Genomic DNA, 23,804 nt, shown 5'->3' on the forward strand with positions numbered 1-23,804 from the left:
CCTTCTTGGCAGCCAGGACATGGACATGTGACTTGAGATCAGCCGACTAGAGATCTCAGCTAGGACTAGGAAGCTGGAGTGAGTCACACAAAAATGAGAAATCACTCTGGCAGTAGCGGAGACAACAGAAGTCACATCTAGCTTCCAGGAGCAGCAGGGCCAGCAGTTCAGGTGACTCCTGTAGCAATGATCCACTTGGAGTTGCATGTCAGTAGTGTCCTCACCAGACAGTCCCTAAGGCATGGTTTTGTCTTTGGACCTGCTGCCCGGCTTCTGTTTCTACTTGGCCAGGACGAGCTCAGGCAGTAGATAAAACTGAGTCCGAATCACTCACTGCCTGGAGCAGAGAGAAGCTGAAGGTCCAGGCTAATAAGTATGAACTCCAGGAGGACAGACAATGGCTGATGTATCTTTGTGTCCTTGGCACCCAAGACAGTGCCTGGGTCCAGACTTTGGGAGCTAGGCAGTTCTGCATCAGGAGTTCACTCACATGGTTTGCAAATTGCTGCTGGTTGTTGTTGGGAGGCCTCAGCTGCACTCCGTGTGGAATTCTCCACAGGGTGGCTTGAGTTCTCGTGACATAGCAGCTGGATTCCTACAGAATAAGCAATCCAAGAGCCTAAGGTGAAAACAGCAATACCTTTTATGATCTAGCCTCAGAAGTCACCCATTGTCACTCTGCCATTCTTTATTAGCCACACCCATCAGCTCCAATTCAATATGGAAGTTAACTATACAAGGGCATGAATACCAGGAAGTGAGGATCTTGGGGGCCATGTTGGAGGCTACTATACTTCACATGACCATTAACCCCTAAAACAAACCAAATGAAGGACAGATAAAGTGCGGACCATACATTTAGGTTGGTTTAATCAAAACTTCTTTGGTGGACTTCTTGATCTTCAAAATTGTGTATGCCATCTAGCCTTCTCCACATTTGTTCCTTATCTATGAAAGGGTCCAGGACTCTCCTTGGAAGGAAGGAAGGCCCAATCTTAAGGGTTCCTTTTGGTTCTCAGATCTCTGATTCTACAAAATAATCAGCAAAAATAAAGCTTTGAAGATATCCTTTAGGAGTTGACATTTACACTGGAATTTACAATTCAATAAAAACAGTGAGTCATTATAAGAATCATCTGCTTATTTATTTTACAGAGTAATGATTTAAATTGAGTACATTTGGGCACAGTAGATATTTGACACGAAAAATAGTTGTATCAGAATGAGCATCAGAAAAATAGCAACTCATCTTGCACATAATAACTAGAAAATATTATTCTGTCTGATCATTTAAGTGTTACAAATCCTGAGAATGTTATACATTGAACAAATTAGGTACTACCTTATAATTAAATCTCGCTTGGAAAGAATCCTTTAAAAAATACTCTGAGGTACAAATCACCTATGTATTAAACATGAGTCTCTGACATTATACAAAGAGTTTAAACAAATATATCAAACAATTACAGGCCAGTGGCTCTTAAAACAGCTATCAGTCAGGTTCAAGGACACACTGTTCCACAATTTCCCGTAAGTTGGGGTTTTCCATTGCAGCTGCCACTCGCTCTTTGTCATTTATCTGCTTATTGACTGAAAAATACACAGACAAAAGTTAGCAGAAGAACTGTGTCAATATACAGCACCAGACAGTATTTTTATTAGCCTGCTGAAACAAAAACTTTAACTCCTTGAGAACTTAAACCTGTTTTTGGCTAATTACTCATAATGTAATTTCCCATCTAGAAGGCAGACTTAAGAGAAAAATATCTACTAGAATTCTACTACTTAACCACATCTATTTTTTTCTTTCCAGTCTTTGTCCATACACATATTTTTATACAGTTACATTCAGAGTAAATATAATTTTGAAAATTGCTATTTTTTCCCCCATAAGCCTATATTTTAAACTACAGGGTTATTTAACATGGTAAAAGTCTTAAGTGTTCTAAAGTAATTATGAAGACTATGCTACAATGAATACCTTTAAACATATAGCCTTCTTTTTGGAAATATTCTCAAAAATGGGATTATTTTTAAGAGTATGAATATTTTTATGGTGTGATTCATATCATTGATTTACTTCCTAAAATTACTCACCAGTTTATATTGTCAACACCAATACATGAGCTATCAGTTTGGCAACAATACCTGGTATTATTATCATTGTTATTATTATTCTTTGAGACAGGGTCCTGCTCTGTCATCCAGGCTGGAGTGCAGTGGTGCAATCATAGCTCACTGTAACCTCCAACTCCTGGGCTCAAGAGATCCTCCTACCTCAGCCTCCCACAGGCATGAACCACCACACCTGGCTAATTTTCAAATATTTTCGTAGAGACAGGGTCTCACCATGTTGCCCAGGCTAGTCTTGAAATCCTGGCCTCAAACTCCTTCCCTCAAGGCATTCTCTCGCCTTGGCCTCCCAAAGTGCTAGGGTTACAGGTGTGAACCACCATGCCCGGGCAATAGCTGGTATTATTTAATAAAAACAAATACACATATATACATACATAAAACAGGAGATGGAAAACGGCTCAATATTATTGTCATAATTTGCATTTCCTTGACTAATAGGAAAATAGAACATTTTCCATGTGCATATATTAGTTCTTCTTGCATGAATTTCCTGTTCATGTCTCTATTAATCTACTAGATCTTTTTTTAAAATTAGTTTGAATGGATCTTCATATAATAAAGGTATTGGCCCATTATGTTTTCTGTAATTAGCTAACAGCATTCTTAATAGAAGAGTTCAAAAGAGAGACGACTATATTCTTAATGTGGATTGAGTTTTCTGGGCTGCCGCTGAAATGTCTCATGTAGAAGACACACAAACATACACATATTCCTGCGAAAATACTTTCAATTTGGTTTCTTCCTACTACAATGTAGGCTCCACAAAGGCAGGAATGTATCTCAAAGGCTGAACTGTACCCACACATAGAAGGCACTTAATAAATACTTACTAAATGAAAAACAAGACTCATAAGACTTAATACTATTGCTGCTGTAAAATCCTATCATTCAAGGAATTTCAAAACGATAACCTGAGTGGATTTAGGGTACCTAAACTCTTATTTTTCTAAATTACAGGTAGAAGCCCTCAGCTCGTGGGGTTTAAAGAAATTCAGCCCACAAAGAGTATAATAATCTACATGTCTAGAACTATAAATAGGGCATGGTTTTTAACAGTTTTCATGACAGTACCTAAAAAGTTTCCTGGATAGGCTGTTCCTCTGGAAGCAGCAGGCTTCCCTCTCTATAGCTCTCTTTTATGTAGGAGATTTTGTGTGTCTCTCTCCAGCCCTGTGTATGCCTTTCTGAGTCTTCTTGGTATCTATCTCACTGTTGCTCTTCCTCTATTAGCTCTTTCTTCCATTCCTCTGCTATTTTTTCCCACCTTCTCAATTTACTTAGTGATGAAACTTAAGTACAACATGCCTTTTAAATGTATTTCTCATTATTTGCACTCTATCATTTGTAGATTAAAAACATTAAAATTATGTTTTTAATGTAACACAGGGATCATACAGAACATTTTGTTTTTTGCTTTTCCCAAACCCCACTTCTGCTATTTTTAAGTAGCTACTGATTGATTTCTCTCTGTAGGCCAGAGGTCCTCTATATAAAAAAGGTTCCCCACTCCCATTCTAATATACTAACCCAGAGAGACAGCACCTACCCCAAGATTCACTAAAGCTCTACTTGCTAGACCTTCAATTTCAAGTACACAGCTCTCTATCCTGTCACCAAAGAAAAGAAGCCTACTTAGAGCTCATAAGTCAAGGTCCCCAGCACTGGATATTCTTTACAGATGTGTAGCCACTGGCCTAAACCAGTCAACATCCGTGGGCTCTAGTGCACTCGGAGTCCACTGCAAAAATTACTTCTTTGAAATGCCTAGGTTTCCTCACCTAGGAAGGAAGAGCCAATAACCAATTGTGCACTTTTTTGAAAGTAACCCAGTAGATTCTTGGCTGGCAGAAGAATCCAGTATCCAAGATAAAATACTATCTGAAGTTGTTTTTCAATTATGTTTCAACATTCACTTACTGTCTTCTTCTGTTGAGTGGGTTCCTTCAGAAATGTAGATTTCCAACTGGAAAGTGGGAAAAAAAGTAAAAGAAAAAACATTAATGCATTCTAAGATAAGAGAGTGAAGTGGAATGTACAGTAAATTCAAACATCTAGGGATGAGTGCCCAAATCCTGTTTCTTTTTTTTTTTTTTTGAGATGGAGTCTCACCCTGTTGCCCAGGCTGGAGTGCAGTGGCATGATCTCGGCTCACTGCAACCTCCGCCTCCTGGGTTCAAGCAATTCTCCTACCTCAGCCTCCCAATAGCTGGAATTACAGGCAGACGCCACCACACCCAGCTAAGTTTTGTATTATTATTTTTTTTTTTTAGTAGAGATGGGGTTTCGCCATGTTGGCCAGACTGGTCTCAAACTCCTGACCTCAGGTGATCCGCCTCGGCTTCCCAAAGTGTTGGGATTACAGGCGTGAGCCACTGCGCCCAGCGCCCCCCAAATCCTGTTTCTAACATCAGAGACATAGGGACAAATCCCCCACATCCTTCTCTAAAAAAAAAAAGGACTGAAATGAGTAGGATTTTTTATTTTGTTCACCTGGAAAAGGCCTGCAGGTGGTATTTCCATTAATTTTTTTATGAATACACAAAAATATCATTTTACACAAATGAGATCTCATATGTGTGGTTTTACTTAAGAATATCTCTTTTCTGCACTCTACTTCTTCCCAACTCGGTATCTAAACTTCCTCCTGCCCTGCTACTGACTCAGGAAATCTACAATAACAATCTAGTGTGGTTTCTTCCATATTCTTCTCTTTACCCACATAATCTTACACAGATTTTACACACACACACACCCACATATCAGGGTTGGAAGTTTCTTCACATTGCTTGTTTTACAAAAATGGGATCACAATATAGTTTTCAGCATCCTTCTTTTCTCATTCATTATTATCATGCTAAATTTATTCTCAAGTATAATACTGGTTAAGCTATCCCTCCTGGCCCTGCTGCACCTATAGACATGAGCTACCCTCCAAGACCCAGAGCTTTTAAGACAACCTACAAAATTATTGCAAATCCTGTGGTAAAGAGAGTATGCTGTAATAAAGACGTCTACTTTCCAGAGAACACTGGAACATATGAACTAATTTTTATTTACTTATTTACTACGGAGATAAACATTTCTCATGAGTGAGAAAAATCATAACTTATTATAGTTAAAAGGGACCTTAAAGGTCATCTAGTCCAATCTTTTTTTTTTTTTTTTTTTTGAGACAGGTCTTACTCTGTCGCCTAGGCTGGAGTGCAGTGGCGCGATCATGTCTCACTACAGCCTCGACTTCCTGGGCTCAGGTGATCCTCCCACCTCAGCTCCCACACTCCCACCCCTCTCCTCCCTCGTCTCTATTTTTTTGTAGAGACCGCGTATCGCCATATTGCCCAAGCTGGTCTTGAATTCCTGAGGTTAAGTGATCCGCCCATCTAGGCCTCCCAAAGTACAGAGATTATAGGCGTGAGCCACTGCACCTGGCCCCAATTTTTTTTAAAAAACAAAACAAGCCGGGCGTGGTGGCTCATGCCTGTAATCCCAGCAATTTGGGAGGCCGAGGCAGGCGGATCACGAGGTCAGGAGATCGAGACCATCCTGGCTAACACAGTAAAACCCCAACTCTACTAAAAATACAAAAAATTAGCCGGGCGTGTATTACCAGCTACTCAGGAGGCTGAGGCAGGAGAATCCCTTGAACCCGGGAGGTGGAGGTTACAGTGAGCTGAGACTGCGCCACTGCACTCCAGCCTGGGTGACAGAGCGAGACTCCGTCTCAACAAAACAAAACAAAACAAAACAAAACACCTTTCTCCTAGTAGCAAAACACTCTTATTCTAGACCTCAAAGCAACAGGTATAGAATCACTCTATACTGACTTACTTCAGTTTAAAATTACACAGGACTCATTATTCTAAAAGTGATAAAGGGGAAAAGGCAGCATTTATGCAGCTATTCCTATATGAACTATACTTCAGGGTAACCAATTGATGAGGGGAGCTGTTACCAATAATGGGACAAACTGAATTTATAGGCCTCTGATGTGATGCAATGAGAACACATTTATTCAGTATTCTTGCCAAAAATGCACAAACTGAATCTAACCAGGAAACATCAGAAAACTCAATTTGAGGGACAATCTATAAAATATCTGGTTTACATTCTTCAAAAATATCAAGATCATGAAATAAAGGCTAAGGAACTACTCTAAATTAAATGAGACTAAAGAGACATGGCAACTAATGCAATGTATGATGGGGGAGAGGAGCAGAGCCAGGAGGAGGGACCGCCATGAAGGATGTTACCCATTGGAATACGTGCTGTAGATGAGATGACAGTACTGTATCAATGTCCTGGTTTAGAAATTTATACTGTGGTAATGTAAGAGAATGTCCTTGTTTTCAGGAAATACATCCTATAGTATTTAGAGTAAGGGGGCATTACAAATGCACTCAAACATTTCCAGAAAATATGTGTATGTGTGTGTACATATATAGAGAGAAATTAATGATAAACCAAATGTGGCAAAATGTTAACAATTAGTGAATCTGAATCTGGGTGAAGGATATATGGAATTTCTTTGTACTATTCTTCACTATTTTATTTCTTTTCTTTCATTATTTTCATTTCAAATAAAAAGTTAAACATTGTAATTAAAACAGTTAAAAATGAAAAATAAAATTTACAGGGCATCATAAACCACTAGTATAATAATTTATTAATTTACTCAATTTAAGACGTATTTATTGAGCTCCAAATATGTATAAGATCATAGCAGGAACACAGAGATGTATCATATATGAATCTTGACTTCAAGAAGCTGACAGCTAGCTGGTCAGGCATGGTGGCTCATGCCTGTGATCCCAGCACTTTGGGAGGCTAAGGCGGGTGTATCACCTGAAGTCAGGAGTTCAAGACCAAACTGGCCAACATGGCAAAACCCTGTCTCTACTAAAAATACAAAAATTTAGCTGGGTGTGGTGGTATGCGCCTGTAATCCCAGCTATTTGGGAGGCTGAGGCAGGATAATCGCTTGAACCCAGGAGTCAGAGGCTGCACTGGGCCGAGATCGCACCACTGCCCTCCAGCCTGGGCGACAGAGCGAGATTCCATCGCAAACAAAAAAAAAAAAAAAAGAAAAGAGAGAGAAGTTGACAGTCCAGGAGGGAAGATGAAAAACAAACAGAACACAAGTTAGAAAAGGACACTCTCTACATCAGAAGACAAAGAAAGAGCCACGGGGCTGGGTGCAGTGGCTCACGCCTGTAATCCGAAACACTTTGGGAAACCAAGGCGGGAGGACTGCTTGAGCCCAGGAGTTCACGAACAGCTTGGGCAACATAGTGAGACTCTGTCACTACAAAAAATAAAATTAGCTGGGCATGGTGGCATATACCTGTGGTTCCAGCTACTTGGGAGGGTAAGGAGGGAGGCTCACTTGAGCCTGGGAGATCAAAGGTTCAGTGAGCTGTAATCATACCACTATATTCCAGCTTGGGCAACAGGGTGAGACCCTGTCTTTAAAAAAAACAAAAAGAAAGAGCCACGGCAATTCAAAAAAAGAAATAGCTTTAGTTACAGAAATCAGGACTAGTAGTATGGAAAGGTGAATACAAAAAATAAAAAAAAAAATTTAAAAGATAAATAAAAATTCATCTTAAAAAGAAGAAAGAAATCAGGACTGATATCATGGAAAATAAAATAGTATTTCACTGGGCCTTAAAACGTGGGTAGGATTTGGCCAGGCCCAGTGGTTCATGCCTATAATCCCAACACTTTGAGAGGCCAAGGCAAGATGATCACTTGAGCCCAGGAGTTTGAGACTAGCTTGGGCAACAAAGAGAGACCTCATCTCTACCAAAAATTAAGAAAAAATTAGCCAGGCATGGCAGTGCACGCCTGTAGTCCTAGCTACTTGGGAGGCTGAGCCTCGGAGATAGAGGCTGCAGTAAGCAGTGATCACACCACTGCACTCCAGCCTGGGAGACAGAGCAAGACCCTGTCTCAACAGCAAACAAAAAAGATGTGTAGGATTTGAACATATGAGATGGGAGGAAGGGAACTCCAAGTAGACAGGGTACTCTGTGTAAAGGCTAGGTAGCAGCCAGGTAGAGAAGGCATAATTGCCCAGCAATTACAAGAGGCAGTAAGAGACAAGGCCGAATCATTCACGAGCGATAACCAATTACTATGAATTAACTGTGATATCCATATTCTTGCTCAATAGTAGGGTTAAAAACATCTTCCTCAGATTATCACACCAAAAGCACAAGTTAAAAAATTAAAAACAAATTAGACTTTATGAAAATTTAAAACTTTTGTACTGTAAAGGACACCATCAAGAAAGTGAAAAGACAACACACAGAATGGGAGAACATATTTGCCAATCATATCTGACAAGGGACTTGTATTTAGACTATATAAAGAACTCTTATAATTCAATAATAAAAAGACATCCTTATTTTAAAATGGGCAAAGGATCTGAATAGACAGCTCTCCAAAGATACACAAATGGCCAAAAACCACATGAAAAGGTTCTCAACATTATTAGCCATCAGAGAAATAAAAATCACAACCACCATGACAGCAGGGTGCAGTGGCTCATGCCTATAATCCCAGCACTTTGGGAGGCCGAGGCAGTGGATCACTTGAGGCCAAGAGTTCAAGACCAGCCTGGCCAACATGGTGAAACCCTGTCTCTACTAAAAATAAAAAAAAATTAGCCGGGAATGGTGGTACATGCCTATAATCCAAACTGCCTGGGAGGCTGAAGCACGAGAATCGCTTGAACCCTGGAGGCGGAGGTTGCAGTGAGCCGAGATTGCACCACTGCACTCCAGCCTGGCGACAGGGCAAGACTTTGTCTCAAAAACAAAAACAAGGCCAGGCACAGTGGCTCATGCCTGTAATCCCAGCACTTTGAGAGGCCGAGGCGGGTGGATCATGAGGTCAGGAGTTCAAGACCAGCCTGACCAATATGGTGAAACCCCGTCTCTACTAAAAATACAAAAAATTAGCTGGGCGTGGTGGTGGGCACCTGTAGTCCCAGCTACTCGGGAGGCTGAGGCAGGAGAATCGCTTGAACCTGAGAGGCAGAGGTTGCAGTAAGCTGAGATGGCGCCACTGAACTCCAGCCTGGGTGACAGTGAGACTCTGATTCAAAAAACAAAAACAAAAAACCATCACTTCACACCCACTAGAATGCCTGTAATCAAAGATAATAATAAATGTTAGCAAGGATGTGGAGAAGTGGGAACGCAGAATGGTGCAGCCACTGTGGAAAACAAACAATTCCTCAAAATGTTAAACACAGAGTTACCATAGGACCGGGCGATTCCACTCACAGGTGGAAAAGAAATGAAAATATATGCCTACACAAAAACTTATACATGAATGTTCATAGCAGCATTACTCATAATAGACAAAAAGTAGAAACAACCTAAATGTCCATCAACTGAGTAACAGACAAGCAAAAACCACTGAATTGGTACACTTTAAATACGTGAATTGTGTGGTATGTGAATTATATCTCAACAAAGCTGTTTTACAACAACAACAACAACAAAAATACATCTTTCTTACCTTATGTTTAAATGGTAAACATCGCTGAAGTTTTACTCTTAAGCACAGCCCTGTGGAGGGAAAATCACACCTCCAATTATCTCTTTATTGCTTCTTATTGGTTCTTGAAAAAGCATACAACTGCGTTTATGTGCCCCCATACAACACAGTTGCTGAAAACAGCTTTGGCTCAATCCAGAGCAGAGCTCCTTTGAGGCTGGCACCACGCTAGGAAATTTAATATATAATCTTACATATTCCTTAGGATAATCCAATAAGCTATTACTAATCCCCTTCTACAAATTATTAAACCAAAGTCACAACGTAACTTCCTCAAGGTCACTGAGTTACAACAGTGGCAGAATTGGGATTGGAACCTATGACCACTGGAAAGCCCAGGCCATTTTTACTACATCAGTTGGCCTTCCAGCAAAAGTCAATTAACTCATTAAGCCTTTTTTTTTTTTTTTTTTTTGAGACGGAGTCTTGAACTGTCGCCCAGGCTGGAGTGCAGTGGCATGATCTCGGCTCACTGCAACCTCCGCCTCTCGGTTCAAGCAATTCTCCTGCCTCAGCCTCCCAAGTAGCTGGGATTACAGGCGCACACCACCACACCCAGTTAATTTTTATATATTTTTGGTACAGATGGGGTTTCACCATGTTGGCCAGGCTGGTCTCAAACTCTTTACCTCAAGTGATCCGCCTGCCTTAGCCTTCCAAAGTGCTAGGATTACAGGCATGAGCCACCCCACCCGGCCAATTCAATTAACTTTTTAAAATGCCCCACAACAGGCCAGGACACGCAAAAAAATAAAACAAGTCAAAGCCATTTTAAAAGGGCCACATAAAATCTCTCAAATTTGTAATCCTTTATGCCTGCAAGGTACAAATACAGTAACTTCTTTAAAACAAGTTCCACTGAAGTTCAGTTTATCATCCCATGCTAAGACACATCAACAAAACCTCAAACCATACAGCAATACAGCAAGATATAATTGTTAGACTACCTATCTTTTAGGGAGGTAGTAACTTGGTTTTGGTTTTCTAAGTACCATTTGGTTTTCTAAGAGAATTTTTTGAAAAATCCCAAAACAGGGAAAAGGATTAGATGAGATATAATGAGGTGGTGCCTGCCACAGGGTCTTTATTTACTTATTTATTTTTTTGAGACAGAGTCTTGCTCTATTGCCCAGGCTGGAGTACAGTGGCGAGATCTCAGCTCACTGCAACCTCTACCTCCTGGGTTCAAGAGATTCTCCTGTCTCGGCCTCCTGAGTAGCTGGGACTACAGAAGCACGCTACCACACCCACTAATTTTTGTATTTTTAGTAGAGACAAGGTTTCATCATGTTGGCCAGGCTGGTCTTGAACTTCTGACCTCAAGTGATCTGCCCGCCTCGGCCTCCCAAAGTGCTGGTATTATAGGCATGAGCCACCGCGCCCGACCTTATAGAGTCTTGAACACAGTAGTTCTATAATAAATATTAGAGAATTCTAAAGAAAATATATTATTTCCTTAAGAGGGTCTCTCTTCAGAGGATCTGCCTTAAAGCATATCTGGGAGAGTTCCTCTTCCCCTGGCCCCACCATTGTCTCCTTAATTTGTTATCTGTGTACTGTCTGAATATCCTCACGTATTTTAGTCACTATTGGTAGGTGTTTTACAATTCGCAAAGCACTTTTTTGAGCATCATTATCCTCAAGAGAGGTAGTACAGCATAACTGAGATACTTTGGGTTTCAAAAGTAGCTTCACTACATACTCGCTGTGATCCTGCATAAGTTACTTAACCTCTCTGAGCTTCAGTTTCCTTATCTGCAAAACAGGCATTATAGTATCAGCTGGGCAAGGTGGCTCATGCCTGTAATCCCAGCACTTTGGGAAGCCAAGGCGGGAGGACTGCTTGAGCCCAGGAGTTCAAGACCAGCCTGGGCAACGTAGCAAGACCCCATCTCTAAAAGTAATAATAATAATAATAATAATAAAACTTAAAAATATATATAATAATATCACAATATATAGGGTTGCTATGAGGAATAACCTGTTATGCAATGTGTTTAAAACAGTACCTGACACATAAGTGTACAATAATAGTATAAAAATAATTACTATAAATAGTAAAAAATAATAGTATAAAATATTACTATTTTATACTATTTTATAATTTTCATTTTACAGCCAAGAAACCAAGGTAGGTGATTTAACATTACTTAGCTAACAAGTGGCAGAGGTAGAACCCAAACCTACACCTTCTGACCTCCAAACCCTAAGACCGTTCCCATTGGACCACAGCTGCCTTCAGCCATTCTTATCTGGAATAAGTCACCACAAATGATTATCAACTTGTTTCCCTGCCTTACCCTCTTGTTCCCTTGGAGTCTTCCTTGTCAATCACTTACCAAGGTAACATTGAGTAGGTGATACTCTTACTCAGGCACCTTTCCAGGCTAGGACTACCTGCTCTGGAGGAATATCTGTTAACACATCAGACAGACGAAGGCTTCTCTCAAGTTTTCCAGCTGTGTTGACTGAACAAAACTACTATGATACACTATTATACAATTCTCTAAAAAACCAATAGGCCGGGTGTGGCAGCTCACACTTGTAATCCCAGCACTTTGGGAGGCCGAGGTGGGCGGATCACTTGAGGCTAGGAGTTTGAGACTAGCCTGGGTAACATGGAGAAACCCCGTCTCTATTGAAAATACAAAAAATTAGTTGGGCATGGTGGCACGCGCCTATGATCCCAGCTACTTGGAGGCCGAGGCACGAGAATCGCTTGAACCCAGGAGGCAGAGGTTGCAGTAAGCCAAGACAGCACCACTGCTTTCCAACCTGGGCAACAGAGCAAGACTCTGTCTCAAAAAAAAATAAAATAAAATAAAATAAAAATAAAAAATAAAAAGCCAATGGTCTTAGCTGAAATGCATAACGAAAGGGCTAAGACAAAACTTTCTACAGGAAGTGTACAGATCTGAAATATCAACTATAATCTAATGTTAGCACCCTTACAGAACAGTTTTTATTTCATGCACTCTCCTGATATTTGTCCACGTACACATTTTTCTATAACTGCAATCATGATGCAATTTGAACTTATTCAAGCTTTTTCATGTTTTTTTTCTTTTTTAAGAGATTGCTGGTTTCAAACTCCTAGGCTCCAGTGATCCTCTCGCCTCGGCCTCCCAAAGTGTTACAATTACAGGTGTGGGCCACCACGTCTGGCGAATATTTTCTTCTATAAAATTAGTTCCTTAACTCCTGCGTCAAACAGTATAAACTTCCAGATAGGGATTTACCAATATATACCATGAGGCTTCAAAATACTTACATAATCTAACCCAATTATTCCACGTATAGGAATTTATCCTGATGCAATAATGAGATATATAAAAATATTTATATAAGGCCAGGCACGGAGGCTCACCCCTCTAATTCCAGCACTTTGGGAGGCCAAGGCAGGCGGATCACCTGAGGTTGGGAGTTAGAGACCAGCCTGACCAACATAGAGAAACCACATCTCTATTAAAAATACAAAATTAGCCAGGTGTGGTGGTGCATGTCTGTAATCCCAGCTGCTTGGGAGGCTGAGGCAGGAGAATCGCTTGAACCTGGGAGGTGGAGGTTGTGGTGAACCAAGATCATGCCATTGCACTCCAGCCTGGGCAACAAGAGTGAAACTCCGTCTCAAAAAATAAATAAATAAAAATATTTATATATAAAGTTGTTCGGTCAGGCGCGGTGGCTCACACCTGTAATCCCAGCACTTTGGTAGGCCAAAGAGGGCAGATCACTTGAGGTCACAAGTTCGAGACCAGCCTGGCCAACATGGTGAAACCCCGTCTCTACTAAAAATACAAAAATTAGCTGGGCTTGGTGGAGGATGCCTGTAATCCTAGCTACTCGGGAGGCTGAAGCGGAGAATCACTTGAACCTGGGAGGTGGAAGCTCCAGTGGCCACTACACTCCAGCCTGGCCAATAAAGTGAGACTCTGTCTCAAAAAATAAAATAAAATAAAATAAAATAAAATAAAATAAAATAAAGTTGCTCATCACAGTATTATTTATAATTGCAAAAGGCTAGAAGTAGTCCAAATGGTTACAAAACTTCTGATGTACCAATATGATTAGCATGTAACCTATAACTATATAATTAAAGAATATTTAATGATGGCCAGGTATGGTGGCTCATGCCTGTAATCCCAGCACTTGGGGAGGCTGAGGCATGAGCCCAGGAATTTGAGACCAGCCTGGGCAACATGGCAAAACTAGCCAGGCATAGTGGCACCTGCCTGAAGTTCTAACTTTTCAGGAGACTGAGGTGGGAGGATCACTTGAGCCCGGGAGGTGGAGGCTGCCTGCAGTGAGCCGAGATCGTGTCATTGCATTCCAGCCTGGGTGACAGAGTGAGACCCTGTCTCAACAACAAAAAAAATTTAAAAAAAGAAATATTTAATGAGAAAAATAATTCATGTATTTCATGCTATTACTTAACTCTTACGACTCTATAGATATCCTTATTATTCCTGTTTTACAGATAAGGAAACTGGGTCTTGGAAAGGTTAAGTAACTTGCCGAAGCCCACAATACGGTACAGCCAATAGACCTGGAATTTTAGCCCAGAGCATATATTCTTTTTTTTTTTTGAGACGGAGTCTCGCACTGTAGCCTGGGCTGGAGTGCAGTGGCGTGACCTTCGCTCACTGCAACCTCCGCCTCCCGGGTTCAAGCGATTCTCCTGCCTCAGCCTCCCACGTAGCTGGGATTACAGGCGCCCGCCACCACGCCCAGCTAATTTTTTGCATTTTTGGTAGAGACAGGGTTTCACTACGTTGGCCAGGCTGGTCTCAAACTCCTGACCTCATGATCTGCCCGCCTCGGCCTCCCAAAGTGCTGGGATTACAAGAGTGAGCCACTGCACCCAGTGACATTCTTTCATAATAGCTGGTTTTTTTCTTTATGTTTTTGTGGGGTATCAAAATTACTGCCAATAAACATGTTACTCATATAATTTAAATAAATGTTAATTTTAAAAATGAATTTGCTGGCTGGGAGTGGTGGCTCACACCTGTAATCCCAGCACTTTGGGAGGCCGAGGTGGGCAGATCACCTGATATTGGAAGTTCGAGACCAGCCTGGCCAACATAGTGAAACCCCATCTCTACTAAAAATACAAAAAAAATTAGCCAGGCATGGTGGCGGGCGCCTGTAATTGCAGCTACTTGGGAGGCTGAGGCAAGAGAATCGCTTGAACCTGGCAGGCGGAGGTTGCAGTAAGCCAAGATTGCACCATTGCGCTCCAGCCTGGGTGACAAGAGTTAAACTCCAGCTCAAAAAATAAATAAATAAATAAATTTGCTATAGGTTCTTGAACTCTCCATTTAAGAACTCTTTCTTATATGTCAAAATATTTTAAGACACCCCCTCCACAACACCCACAGCAGTACTTTCAGTATCTGTTCGTTCACAAATTGTCCAATGACCAAAAATAACCATGCATTCAGCATTCAGTAATGCTTTTTCTAGCAATGGGATTTTTTTTTTTTTTTTTGAGACAGAGTCTTACTCTGTTGCTTAGGCTGGAGTGCAGTGGCGCAATCTCAGCTCACTGCAACCTCCACCTCCCATGTTCAAGCGATTCTCCTGCCTCAGCCTCCCGAGTAGCCGGGATTACAGGTGCGTGCCACCATGCCCAGCTAATTTTTGTATTTTTAGTAGAGATGGGGTTTCACCATGTTGGCCAGGCTGGTCTTGAACTTCTGACCTCAAGTGATCCACTGCCTTGGCCTCCCAAAGTGCTGGGATTACAGGTGTGAGCCGCCATGCCAATGGGAATTTTTTTTTTTTGAGATGAAGTTTTTGCTCTTGTTGCCCAGGTTGGTGTGCAATGGCATGATCTCAGCTCACTGCAACCTCTGCCTCCCAGGTTCAAGTAATTCTCCTGCCTCAGCCTCTCAAGTAGCTGGGATTACAGGTGTGTGCCACCATGCCTTGCTAATTTTGCTTTTTTTTTTTTTTTTTTTTTTGGGAGATAAGAGTCTCGCTCTGATGCCCAGGCTGGAGTGCAGTGGTGCAATCTCGGCTCACTGCAAACTCCGCTTCCCGGGTTCACGCCATTCTCCTGCCTCAGCCTCCTGAGTAGCTGGGACTACAGGCACCCGTCACCATGCCTGGCTAATTTTTTATAGTTTTAGTAGAGACAGGGTTTCACCATGTTACCCAGGATGGTCTCCATCTCCTGACCTCGTGATCTGCCCGCCTCGGCCACCTAAAGTGCTGGGATTACAGGCGTAAGCCACCGCGCCCGGCCTAATTTTGTATTTTTTTTAGTGGAGATGGGGTTTCACCATGTTGGTCAGGCTTGTCTCAAACTCCTGACCTCAAGTGATCTACCCACCTTGGCCTCCCAAAGTGCTGGGATTACAGGTGTGAGCCACCACGCCCGGTCACCAATGGGATTTTAATAACCACAATAATACCTATGGATTCACAGACCTCCAGTCCCTCAAGATGTGGCCTATATGGTGGAAACCACCAGCAGAGGGAACCCAGGTCAACCAGTGAGAAAAGACAGAAATCACAATAGTGGAAATAATAACGAAATAGCGACCTTTTCAATCTTTTTTATAAACTTGTTGCTTTTTAATAGGTGAGATAGTCCCATGGTTTGAAAATGTAAAAACATAAAAAGGTATAAAGTCTCCCTCCCACCCTTTCCCCCATCTGCCCAGCTCCCACCACCACTATTACCCGCTAACACCCTTATAGCTATTCATTTATGTATTAATATTATTCAGGCATATGCAATCAAATACAAATGTATGTTTTTGCTTTTTTTACACAAATGATAGCAAAATGATACTTGCTTTTATTTCTTAACAGTATGTCATAGAGATCTCTCCATATCAGTACATGCAGAGCTTCTTCATTCTTTTTTATAGCTGCATAGTATTCCACTGTTTATATTCACCATCAATGATTATTTAATCAATCCCCTACTCATGAACATTTGGTTTGAAATAAAATCCCTTTATAACAAAGCATATGTTCAAATACATTTATTGTACCTGCTAACAAATCCAAAATACTGGGAATCCAACCTCCTACCAGGACTTCTACCCATACTATGTAGAAACCAGAAGAGTCACTGAAAGGAGATGGTGATGGAAGCAATGCTAGTCTGACACCACCCACTCCAACCTCCAGAACTGAGGAAAAGCACTGGCCCACATGCACTCTCCATTAATTGTGGGCATATATACCTGGGAGGGGCAGCCTGACATAACTAAAGGAGAAGTGGAGTCAGGAGACCTGGGTATGAGCCTTAGTTTCACCATTTCCTGGCTACCTGATTCTGTGCAAGTCACTTAAACTCTCTGAGCTTCAGGTTCCTCATCTGCAAAATGAAGATAATAATATTTTAACTCAACAAGCTAATTGTGAGGACTACAGAAGATGAATACACGAACATACTCTGTAAACCATAAAGTGTAATACATACACTGTATGGTTTTTCAACAATGATGCAAATTGTTATTATGGGTCAATATCAGCAAGAATAACTTAGAATTTATATAAATATACATGTATGTACAGAAAAACTTACCAATAAGAGTCGCCAAAGAGCAATGAGGTACTGTTGGCGTGAACCTGATAATAACCAGATATTCTTCTTCATTTATCTCCTGAACTTCCACACAACTTTCCGAGACCACTTCCAGTTCTTCTAAAGTATTGGGCTTTTCTGGGTCCCGGATAGTTCTAATCAAATCTAAAGAATCATCAGAGATAAGATATTCTATTAAAACATGACTATTCTAAATAAAGATGATTTTGCCAGGCCTAATTTAAGCACTGACTTCTCTTACGTTTAAGCAAATAGTACAGCAACTCCCAGGTTTCTGACAGAAATTTTCACTACTGGTTTCCTCTTGAGAAAACTGTTTTCTTGGATTATTATAAGACCATATCCAGTTTCTCCAATCGGACATTGCAGAGAAAATATAATAAGAATGGAAACAGTGTCATGGAAGCTCAAGAGGAAGAAATAACTTTCAGCTTGAAAGAATGTGGTTATCAGGCTTTATAGGAGCGGAATCTGAATCAAGCCTTGAAAAATAGGTAACATTTCAATATTTGACATTTAAAGTGAAGGAAAGTAGCTGGGCATGGTGGCTCACACCTGTAAACCAACCACTTTGAGAGGCAAAGGCGGGAGGATCACTTGAGCTCAGAAGTTCGAGACCAGCCTCAGCAACATAATGAGACCCCCGTCTCTACAAAAAATACACACAAAAATTAGCCGGGTGTAGTGGTGCAGGCCTGTGGTCCCAGCCACTCAGGAGGATCGCTTGAGCCCAGGAGGCAGAGGTTGAGAGCGGAGATCGTGTCACCGCACTCTAGGCTGGGCAACAAAGCGAGACCCTGTCTCAAAAAAAAAAAAAAAGTGAAGGAAAGTAAAGTAAAGAAGAAGAACCCTAGTTTGCCTGGAAGCAGGCATAAGTGAAAGGTGTTTTAGAGTATGAGATTTGGGTCTGACCATCAAGTGTCTTTTACAGCCAGCTACCGGCAATAGCAAGTCCTCAAGAGGTTTGAGACAAGTGACATGGACAACACTGTGCTGTCAGCTGGTAACTCATCATCAGCTGCTAGACTCAGACTAAAAAGCAGAACCAATGATACCAGCTAAAAACACCAGGCCTAAAATAGTATCTAGGACAACACTGGCAGAACTAAAAGAAACAGAACGAGGAAGAAATTTGGGTGGGGCATAGAGCAAATGAGTTCAATTTCACACAGAATGATTTTGAGGTGCTTAAGGGGTTATCCAATGGAGTTTTCTAGCAAGTGGTAAACTGTAGCATAGAGTTTAAAACAGCATCAAAGCTAGAGTGGTTGTCAAACCCACAGGATTCACAAAGAATAAGTAGAACCTTGGCTGAACATTGGAATTACCAAGAATGTTTCAAAACAAACAACAAGGCCGGGCGCGTGGTTCAGGCCTATAATCCTAGCACTTTGGGAGGCTGAGGCGGGTGGATCGCCTGAGGTCAAGAGTTCGAGACCAGCCTGGTGAACATGGTAAAACCTCGTCTCTACTAAAAATACAAAAATTACCCAGGCGTGGTGCCGGGCGCCTGTAATCCCAGCTACTTAGGAGACTGAGGCAGGAGAATCACTTGAAACCAGAAGGCAGAGGTTGCAGTGAGCCGAGATCCCGCCATTGCATTCCAACCTGGGCAACAGAGCAAAAACTCCGTCTCAAAAACAAAAACAAACAAACAAAAAAACCTGATGCCTGGGCCCCAATTCCAGAGACTCTGATTTAATTGGTTTGCTGGCCTTTGAGTTTTAAAAATTTCTCGGGTTGTTCTTAGGTACAACCCAGTATGAGAATCAGTGGTATAAAGAAAAAAGAGACCCAACAGATCCATGCGAAGCACCTAACTTAGGGATCAGAATGAGAAACAAAAGCAAAAAGAACTAGAGGAGGGAAGAGAGGGATGGTTAATAACATTAAATGCTGCAGAAAAATTCAGGCTCATGAGAGCTAAAACAGGTCTTTCATTTGTCACCCCAGCCAGCTGTAAGAAAGCAGTTTCAGTAGAGAGTGCGTGCGCTGAAGCCAGCTTGCAAAAGGGGAAGCAAGTAGGAACTGAAAATGTCTTCCTAGGGCCTTAGCTGGGAAGGGAGGGACATGAAAAGGACAATGACTTTATAAGGAAGCTAGAACAATGACAAGGATAAGGGCAACTTTGAGGAGAGAAATTGAAAATATAAGTTGGGAGGAGCGGAGACTGGTAAAATAAGCAGAAGGGAGTGGGATCAAATATTTAGAAGTCTCAGTTGGCCTTGGAGAAGACAAGATTTCTTTCTTACTCTGAGGCTGGAGAAAGAGATGAAGGAAAGGAGAACAATAAAGAGAAATGGTGAGGTAGAAAGGAAAGAAGCAGAATTTTACATAGAATGTGCTTGAGGTTCTCAAATCTGAAGTTTTGTTTTATTATTTATCACACAAAATTATATGTAATCAGAAATGCAACTGGGAAAAACAAGAACAAATTCTATTTTCTCTTTAATTTGCTCCTGGGCTTGTCACTTGATTAGAAACAGAATTTTGCCAAACATGACGGCTCATGCCTGTAATCCCAGCACTTTGGGAGGCTGAGGCAAGTGGATCACCCACCTGAGTTCAGGAGTTCAAGACCAGCCTGGCCAACATGGCAAAAACCCGTCTCTACTAAAAATACAAAAATGAGCCGGGTGTGGTGGCATGTGCCTGTAATCACAGCTACTCAGGAGGCTGAGGTAGGAGAATCACTTGAACCCAGGAGGCTGAGGCTGCAGTGGGCCAAAATTGTGTCACTGCACTCTAGCCTGGGTGACAGAAGAGACTCTGTCTCAAAAAAAAAAAAAAAAGAAAGAAAGAAGCAGAATTGGAAAACATAGGCAAGAAAGTCGACAAAGCTTCTCTTTCACAGAGCTGTGTTATCATGGGACTTAGGGAAACAGAGTTTTCTGAAAAGGAATTTTCTGCCTCTCATACTAGGCTTTCTCCCCATAAGGCTCATTTAATTGTATTATATTCTTTATATGCCACTAAACCCTGAAATTAAATATCATCCTTATTAAATTTCTCTAGTTTTCTAGTTTCTAGATTTGAGAGGTTTGGCTTTACTTCTTTAAAAAGAAAGAAGGGCCGGGTGTGGTGGCTCATGCCTGTAATCCCAGCCTTTGGGAGGCCGAGACAGGCAAATCACTTGAGCTCAGGAGTCCAAGACCAGCCTGGGTAACATAGCAAAACCTCATCTCTACAAAAAAATACAAAAATTAGCTGGGCATGGTGGTGCATGCCTATGGTCCCAGTCAGTCAGGAGGCTGAGGTGGGAGGATGGCTTGAGCCCTGGAGGTGGATGGAGGCTGCAGTGAGCAGTGATTGCACCACTGCACTCCAGCCTGATTACCAGAGTGAGACCCTGTCTCAAAAAAAAAAAAAAAAAAAAAAAAATTTAAAAGAAAGTTCTCCTCATATTACTCCCCACACTAACATTCTTCCACAGCACTGCACTATTAAAATTCTTCATTTATATTTAAAACCTTCAGTATCCAACTGCATCCCACTACCTAGAACAATGTTCAACCACATCTTCACATTTAACCACAAACCCTATCCTATAGCCCCATCTATCTGTCATTTCCTATCTTCTTACCTCCATGCTTTTAAGTTTCCTCTTAGTATGCCCTCTGACCCTCTACATATCTAGATCCTAATTATTCTTTGAGGCCCAACTCAAGTGGCTCCTTCTCTTTATTTCAAAGTCTTTCTAGATCCCCTCAGTCAGAGACTAGTATCTCCCTTTCTCTGAATTTCTGTATCTCTTATTCAGTCTACAGCCTTCTATTACATACTCTATTTTTGCATATATGGGTTTCCTTCAATATCAGTTTGAAGACTAGAGTCACTCTCTTCCAAAGTTGTATCTCCAGTGCCCTACCATCCCTAGATTATGTGGACAGAGATCTGGCAGGACAGGGATGTGGTCTGCTTTGTGGAGATCATTTTACTCACAATTATCATCTGCCTGGAGGCTGATTAGGTAAGTCCTGCCTCTAGTAAGAGAGGTCAACCAAATTAGCTCCCAGAGTATTTCCTAACCCTGGCTTCCTTCTACTGGCCTATAATCCTTACTTGAATTATATTTGTATTCTATGGTTAGATCTCTCAATATTATATCCAGTCTTTTCGGTTTTCAAAAACAATACAACATAATTAAAAAAACAAACAAACAAAAAGTTGTAAGGCAATTGTGAAGTGGTGGAAAGTGCATTACGGTTAGAACCAGTAGGCACAGCCTTTGCTTTTTGGCTCTGTTCCTTACTGGCAGTGTGACCTCCAGGTAGTTCTTTAACCTTTGTTTCCTCATTTGTACAATAAAGATGGCCCCAAGGGTTAAACAGAAAATATTTAATATGCAACATGGAAGAGTGTGTATGTGTGTGTGTGCGTTATGTGTGTGTACACAAGGCCTTGCTACAAGAAGCCAATCTCGTTCTCTTCTTTCGGGGACCTCTGCTTACTGACTTTGCCGGATAGAGTGGCTGTGACCTTGGGCCAGTCCCCAACTCGACTGTCACCCACAAGCGCCCTCAGCGGTAGCAAGAGTGCGTGTCCAGGAGCTAGAGAACGAGGCTCTAGTAGTGCAATCAGGCCAGCTTTGCTTCCTAACCAGGCACCCTAGACTTGTGGTCTCCCCACAAGTCTTGGAATGGTTACTAAGACGTAGGCCACACGTGGAGAATGAAGCTTTTAAGACCTCTGGGTTCGGCTTGCCCCAGGTTTACGAAGAGCCCAGTTCCCAGAAAGACCCACACCCCCCACGTGACTTAGGACCCCGAAGAAAGCGCCTGCTACGCCCCGGACAAGATCTGGCCAAAAACAAACAAACAAACAAACAAAAAAAAAGGTCTCCCCTCCCAGCCCTCAGGTGAGGCCATCATCCCCGCACCCCTCAGCTCCGGCCTGCACCTATAACGCCAAATGCTGTGCTGGGTAAAATTAATTACCATAAACTTCTAGCGCTTTCTCTTCCATGATCCGGGGCTGCCGGGCAGCTCCCGGCTCAGAGAGGCCGGAGAGCCACAGGACTCTGCTCAGCGTCCAGGAGAGCAGCCCGGACACCCGCTGCATCTTCACGCTCAGCCATCCCTGGCGACTGTCCCAATCGCGCCACCGTCTCTCAGCAGCCTCGGGATTGATCAACTTCCTGGTCTTCAAATGGGCCGAGACAAGCCTAAAGGTTCAGGAGAGCAGAGAAAAGGCGGGGCCAGACGGAGTAGCTCGAAGGACCTAGGGAAGGGGCCTCAAGGACTACAAGTTCCAGCGTGCTTTGCTCGATTTCGGCGGGACAAAAACAATCTTCGCGGCTCGTCAGCACATTGCATGCTGGGATGCGTGAGCTATTTTCTTCGGAAGGCAGCGAATTGTATTCTGGGACTTGTAGTGTCCGCCTGGTAGAAGTGGATGTAACGGTCTGTTAACCGCGACTGACTCACTCAGTATCCGTGATAAGTTAAAGATGAATCCTGAAGGGGTAGGGGAAAGGAGATCTTGAGTTCTCCAGCACGGAGACTCTTTACAATTATTTCTCCGCGGGATCCGCTGACAGCCAACGTCTTTCTTACTTCCTGATCGGACAGGAAGTAGGTTTCAGTTGCTGTGAAAAGGGATGTCATGGGAAGCCAGTGAGGTAGTCAGGTATGGCATGGGGAGGGCTTTTTGGCTTTCTCGTCTCCTAAGGGACTCAGTCCAGCACAGCTTCCCACCTTTGAACGAATATTTCTGCTAATGGCCTCCAAAGACAACTTAGAACATAAGTTTTCCCGTGTCTAATGTGTACAGTGGTGACATAATGGAGATCGCCATCCTTAAAAGTGTATCTTGGCCGGGCGCGATGGCTCACGCCTATAATCCCAGCACTTTGGGAGGCCGAGGCGGGCGGATCACCTGAGGTCAGGAGTTCGAGACCAGCCTGGCCAACATGGGCAAACCCCGTCTCTACTAAAAAATACAAAAATTAGCTGGGCGTGGTGGCAGGGGCCTTAATCCCAGCTACTTGGGAGGCAGAGGCAGGAGAATCGTTTGAACTCAGGAGGCAGAGGTTGCAGTGAACCAAGATCGAGCCATTGCACTCAAGCCTGGGGGAGAAGAGCGAGACTTCCCTCAAAAAAAAAAAAAAAAAAAAAAGTGTATCTTAAGCCCTCTGGTGTTCGTGGGTGTGATGGATGCCAGTAACAAAATCGATTTTATTTTATCCATCCATCCCTCCGATCAAATTTGTAGGTACTAATTTGCCATAGGTGATCCATAGGCATGGAAGATACAAAGATAAAACGCTGCCCCCGCCTTCAAACAGCTCACATGACCTGTGAGGGAGTCCATCCCTGAATTTGCAGTTACAACCAAACTAACTAAACCTCTTGTCAAAGTTGGTGACAAATGCCATTTCTATTGAGAAGATAGGATTATCTTGCAGAATTGTCCCATGCTAACATGCCCATTTATCTTTAAACTCCAGTCTTGTTTGTCTAGTTAATGTAGGCCTTAGGATCACCAGACAATGAATTGCTTAGGTCCCAAGGAAATTTTGGTCAGGGTTCAATAA

The 23,804-nt window shown here is 42.2% G+C and overlaps 1 protein-coding gene across 4 annotated transcripts, besides 5 other annotated features; it reads right to left on the bottom strand.

Moving 5' to 3' along the window:
* Nucleotides 1-1,126: 1,126 nt before the first annotated feature.
* CIAO2A (cytosolic iron-sulfur assembly component 2A) lies at nt 1,127-22,400 on the bottom strand. 4 transcript variants are annotated; one of them, NR_110310.2, is made up of 6 exons: nt 22,207-22,400; nt 18,760-18,877; nt 17,249-17,413; nt 9,664-9,713; nt 4,054-4,099; nt 1,127-1,590 (listed from the first exon to the last, which is right to left on the bottom strand). NR_110310.2 is itself a non-coding variant. In NM_032231.7 (5 exons), exons 1-5 carry the CDS (start codon nt 22,328-22,330, stop codon nt 1,493-1,495), a joined length of 483 nt encoding a protein of 160 aa, NP_115607.1. In that variant the 5' UTR covers nt 22,331-22,400; the 3' UTR covers nt 1,127-1,492. The 4 variants fall into 4 exon arrangements, 3 of the variants coding, with proteins under 3 accessions (NP_115607.1, NP_001014812.1, NP_001276037.1); NM_032231.7 differs by lacking the exon at nt 18,760-18,877; NM_001014812.3 differs by lacking the exons at nt 9,664-9,713; nt 18,760-18,877.
* Nucleotides 17,992-18,051: an enhancer, noted in NCBI's record as "active region_9551". NCBI's record gives its function as "activates an Ori minimal core promoter by ATAC-STARR-seq in GM12878 lymphoblastoid cells {active_cell/tissue: GM12878}" and the evidence as "EXISTENCE:reporter gene assay evidence [ECO:0000049][PMID:35858748]".
* Nucleotides 18,102-18,151: an enhancer, noted in NCBI's record as "active region_9552". NCBI's record gives its function as "activates an Ori minimal core promoter by ATAC-STARR-seq in GM12878 lymphoblastoid cells {active_cell/tissue: GM12878}" and the evidence as "EXISTENCE:reporter gene assay evidence [ECO:0000049][PMID:35858748]".
* Nucleotides 21,475-22,037: an enhancer, noted in NCBI's record as "H3K27ac hESC enhancer chr15:64385112-64385674 (GRCh37/hg19 assembly coordinates)". NCBI's record gives its function as "activates a minimal SCP1, AML or CMV promoter by ChIP-STARR-seq in primed H9 embryonic stem cells {active_cell/tissue: H9 hESC(primed)}" and the evidence as "EXISTENCE:reporter gene assay evidence [ECO:0000049][PMID:30033119]".
* Nucleotides 21,673-21,722: an enhancer, noted in NCBI's record as "active region_9553". NCBI's record gives its function as "activates an Ori minimal core promoter by ATAC-STARR-seq in GM12878 lymphoblastoid cells {active_cell/tissue: GM12878}" and the evidence as "EXISTENCE:reporter gene assay evidence [ECO:0000049][PMID:35858748]".
* Nucleotides 22,083-22,812: an enhancer, noted in NCBI's record as "active region_9554". NCBI's record gives its function as "activates an Ori minimal core promoter by ATAC-STARR-seq in GM12878 lymphoblastoid cells {active_cell/tissue: GM12878}" and the evidence as "EXISTENCE:reporter gene assay evidence [ECO:0000049][PMID:35858748]".

The sequence above is a fragment of the Homo sapiens genome, chromosome 15 (assembly GCF_000001405.40).
Source record: "Homo sapiens chromosome 15, GRCh38.p14 Primary Assembly".
Taxonomy (NCBI): Eukaryota; Metazoa; Chordata; class Mammalia; order Primates; family Hominidae; genus Homo; species Homo sapiens.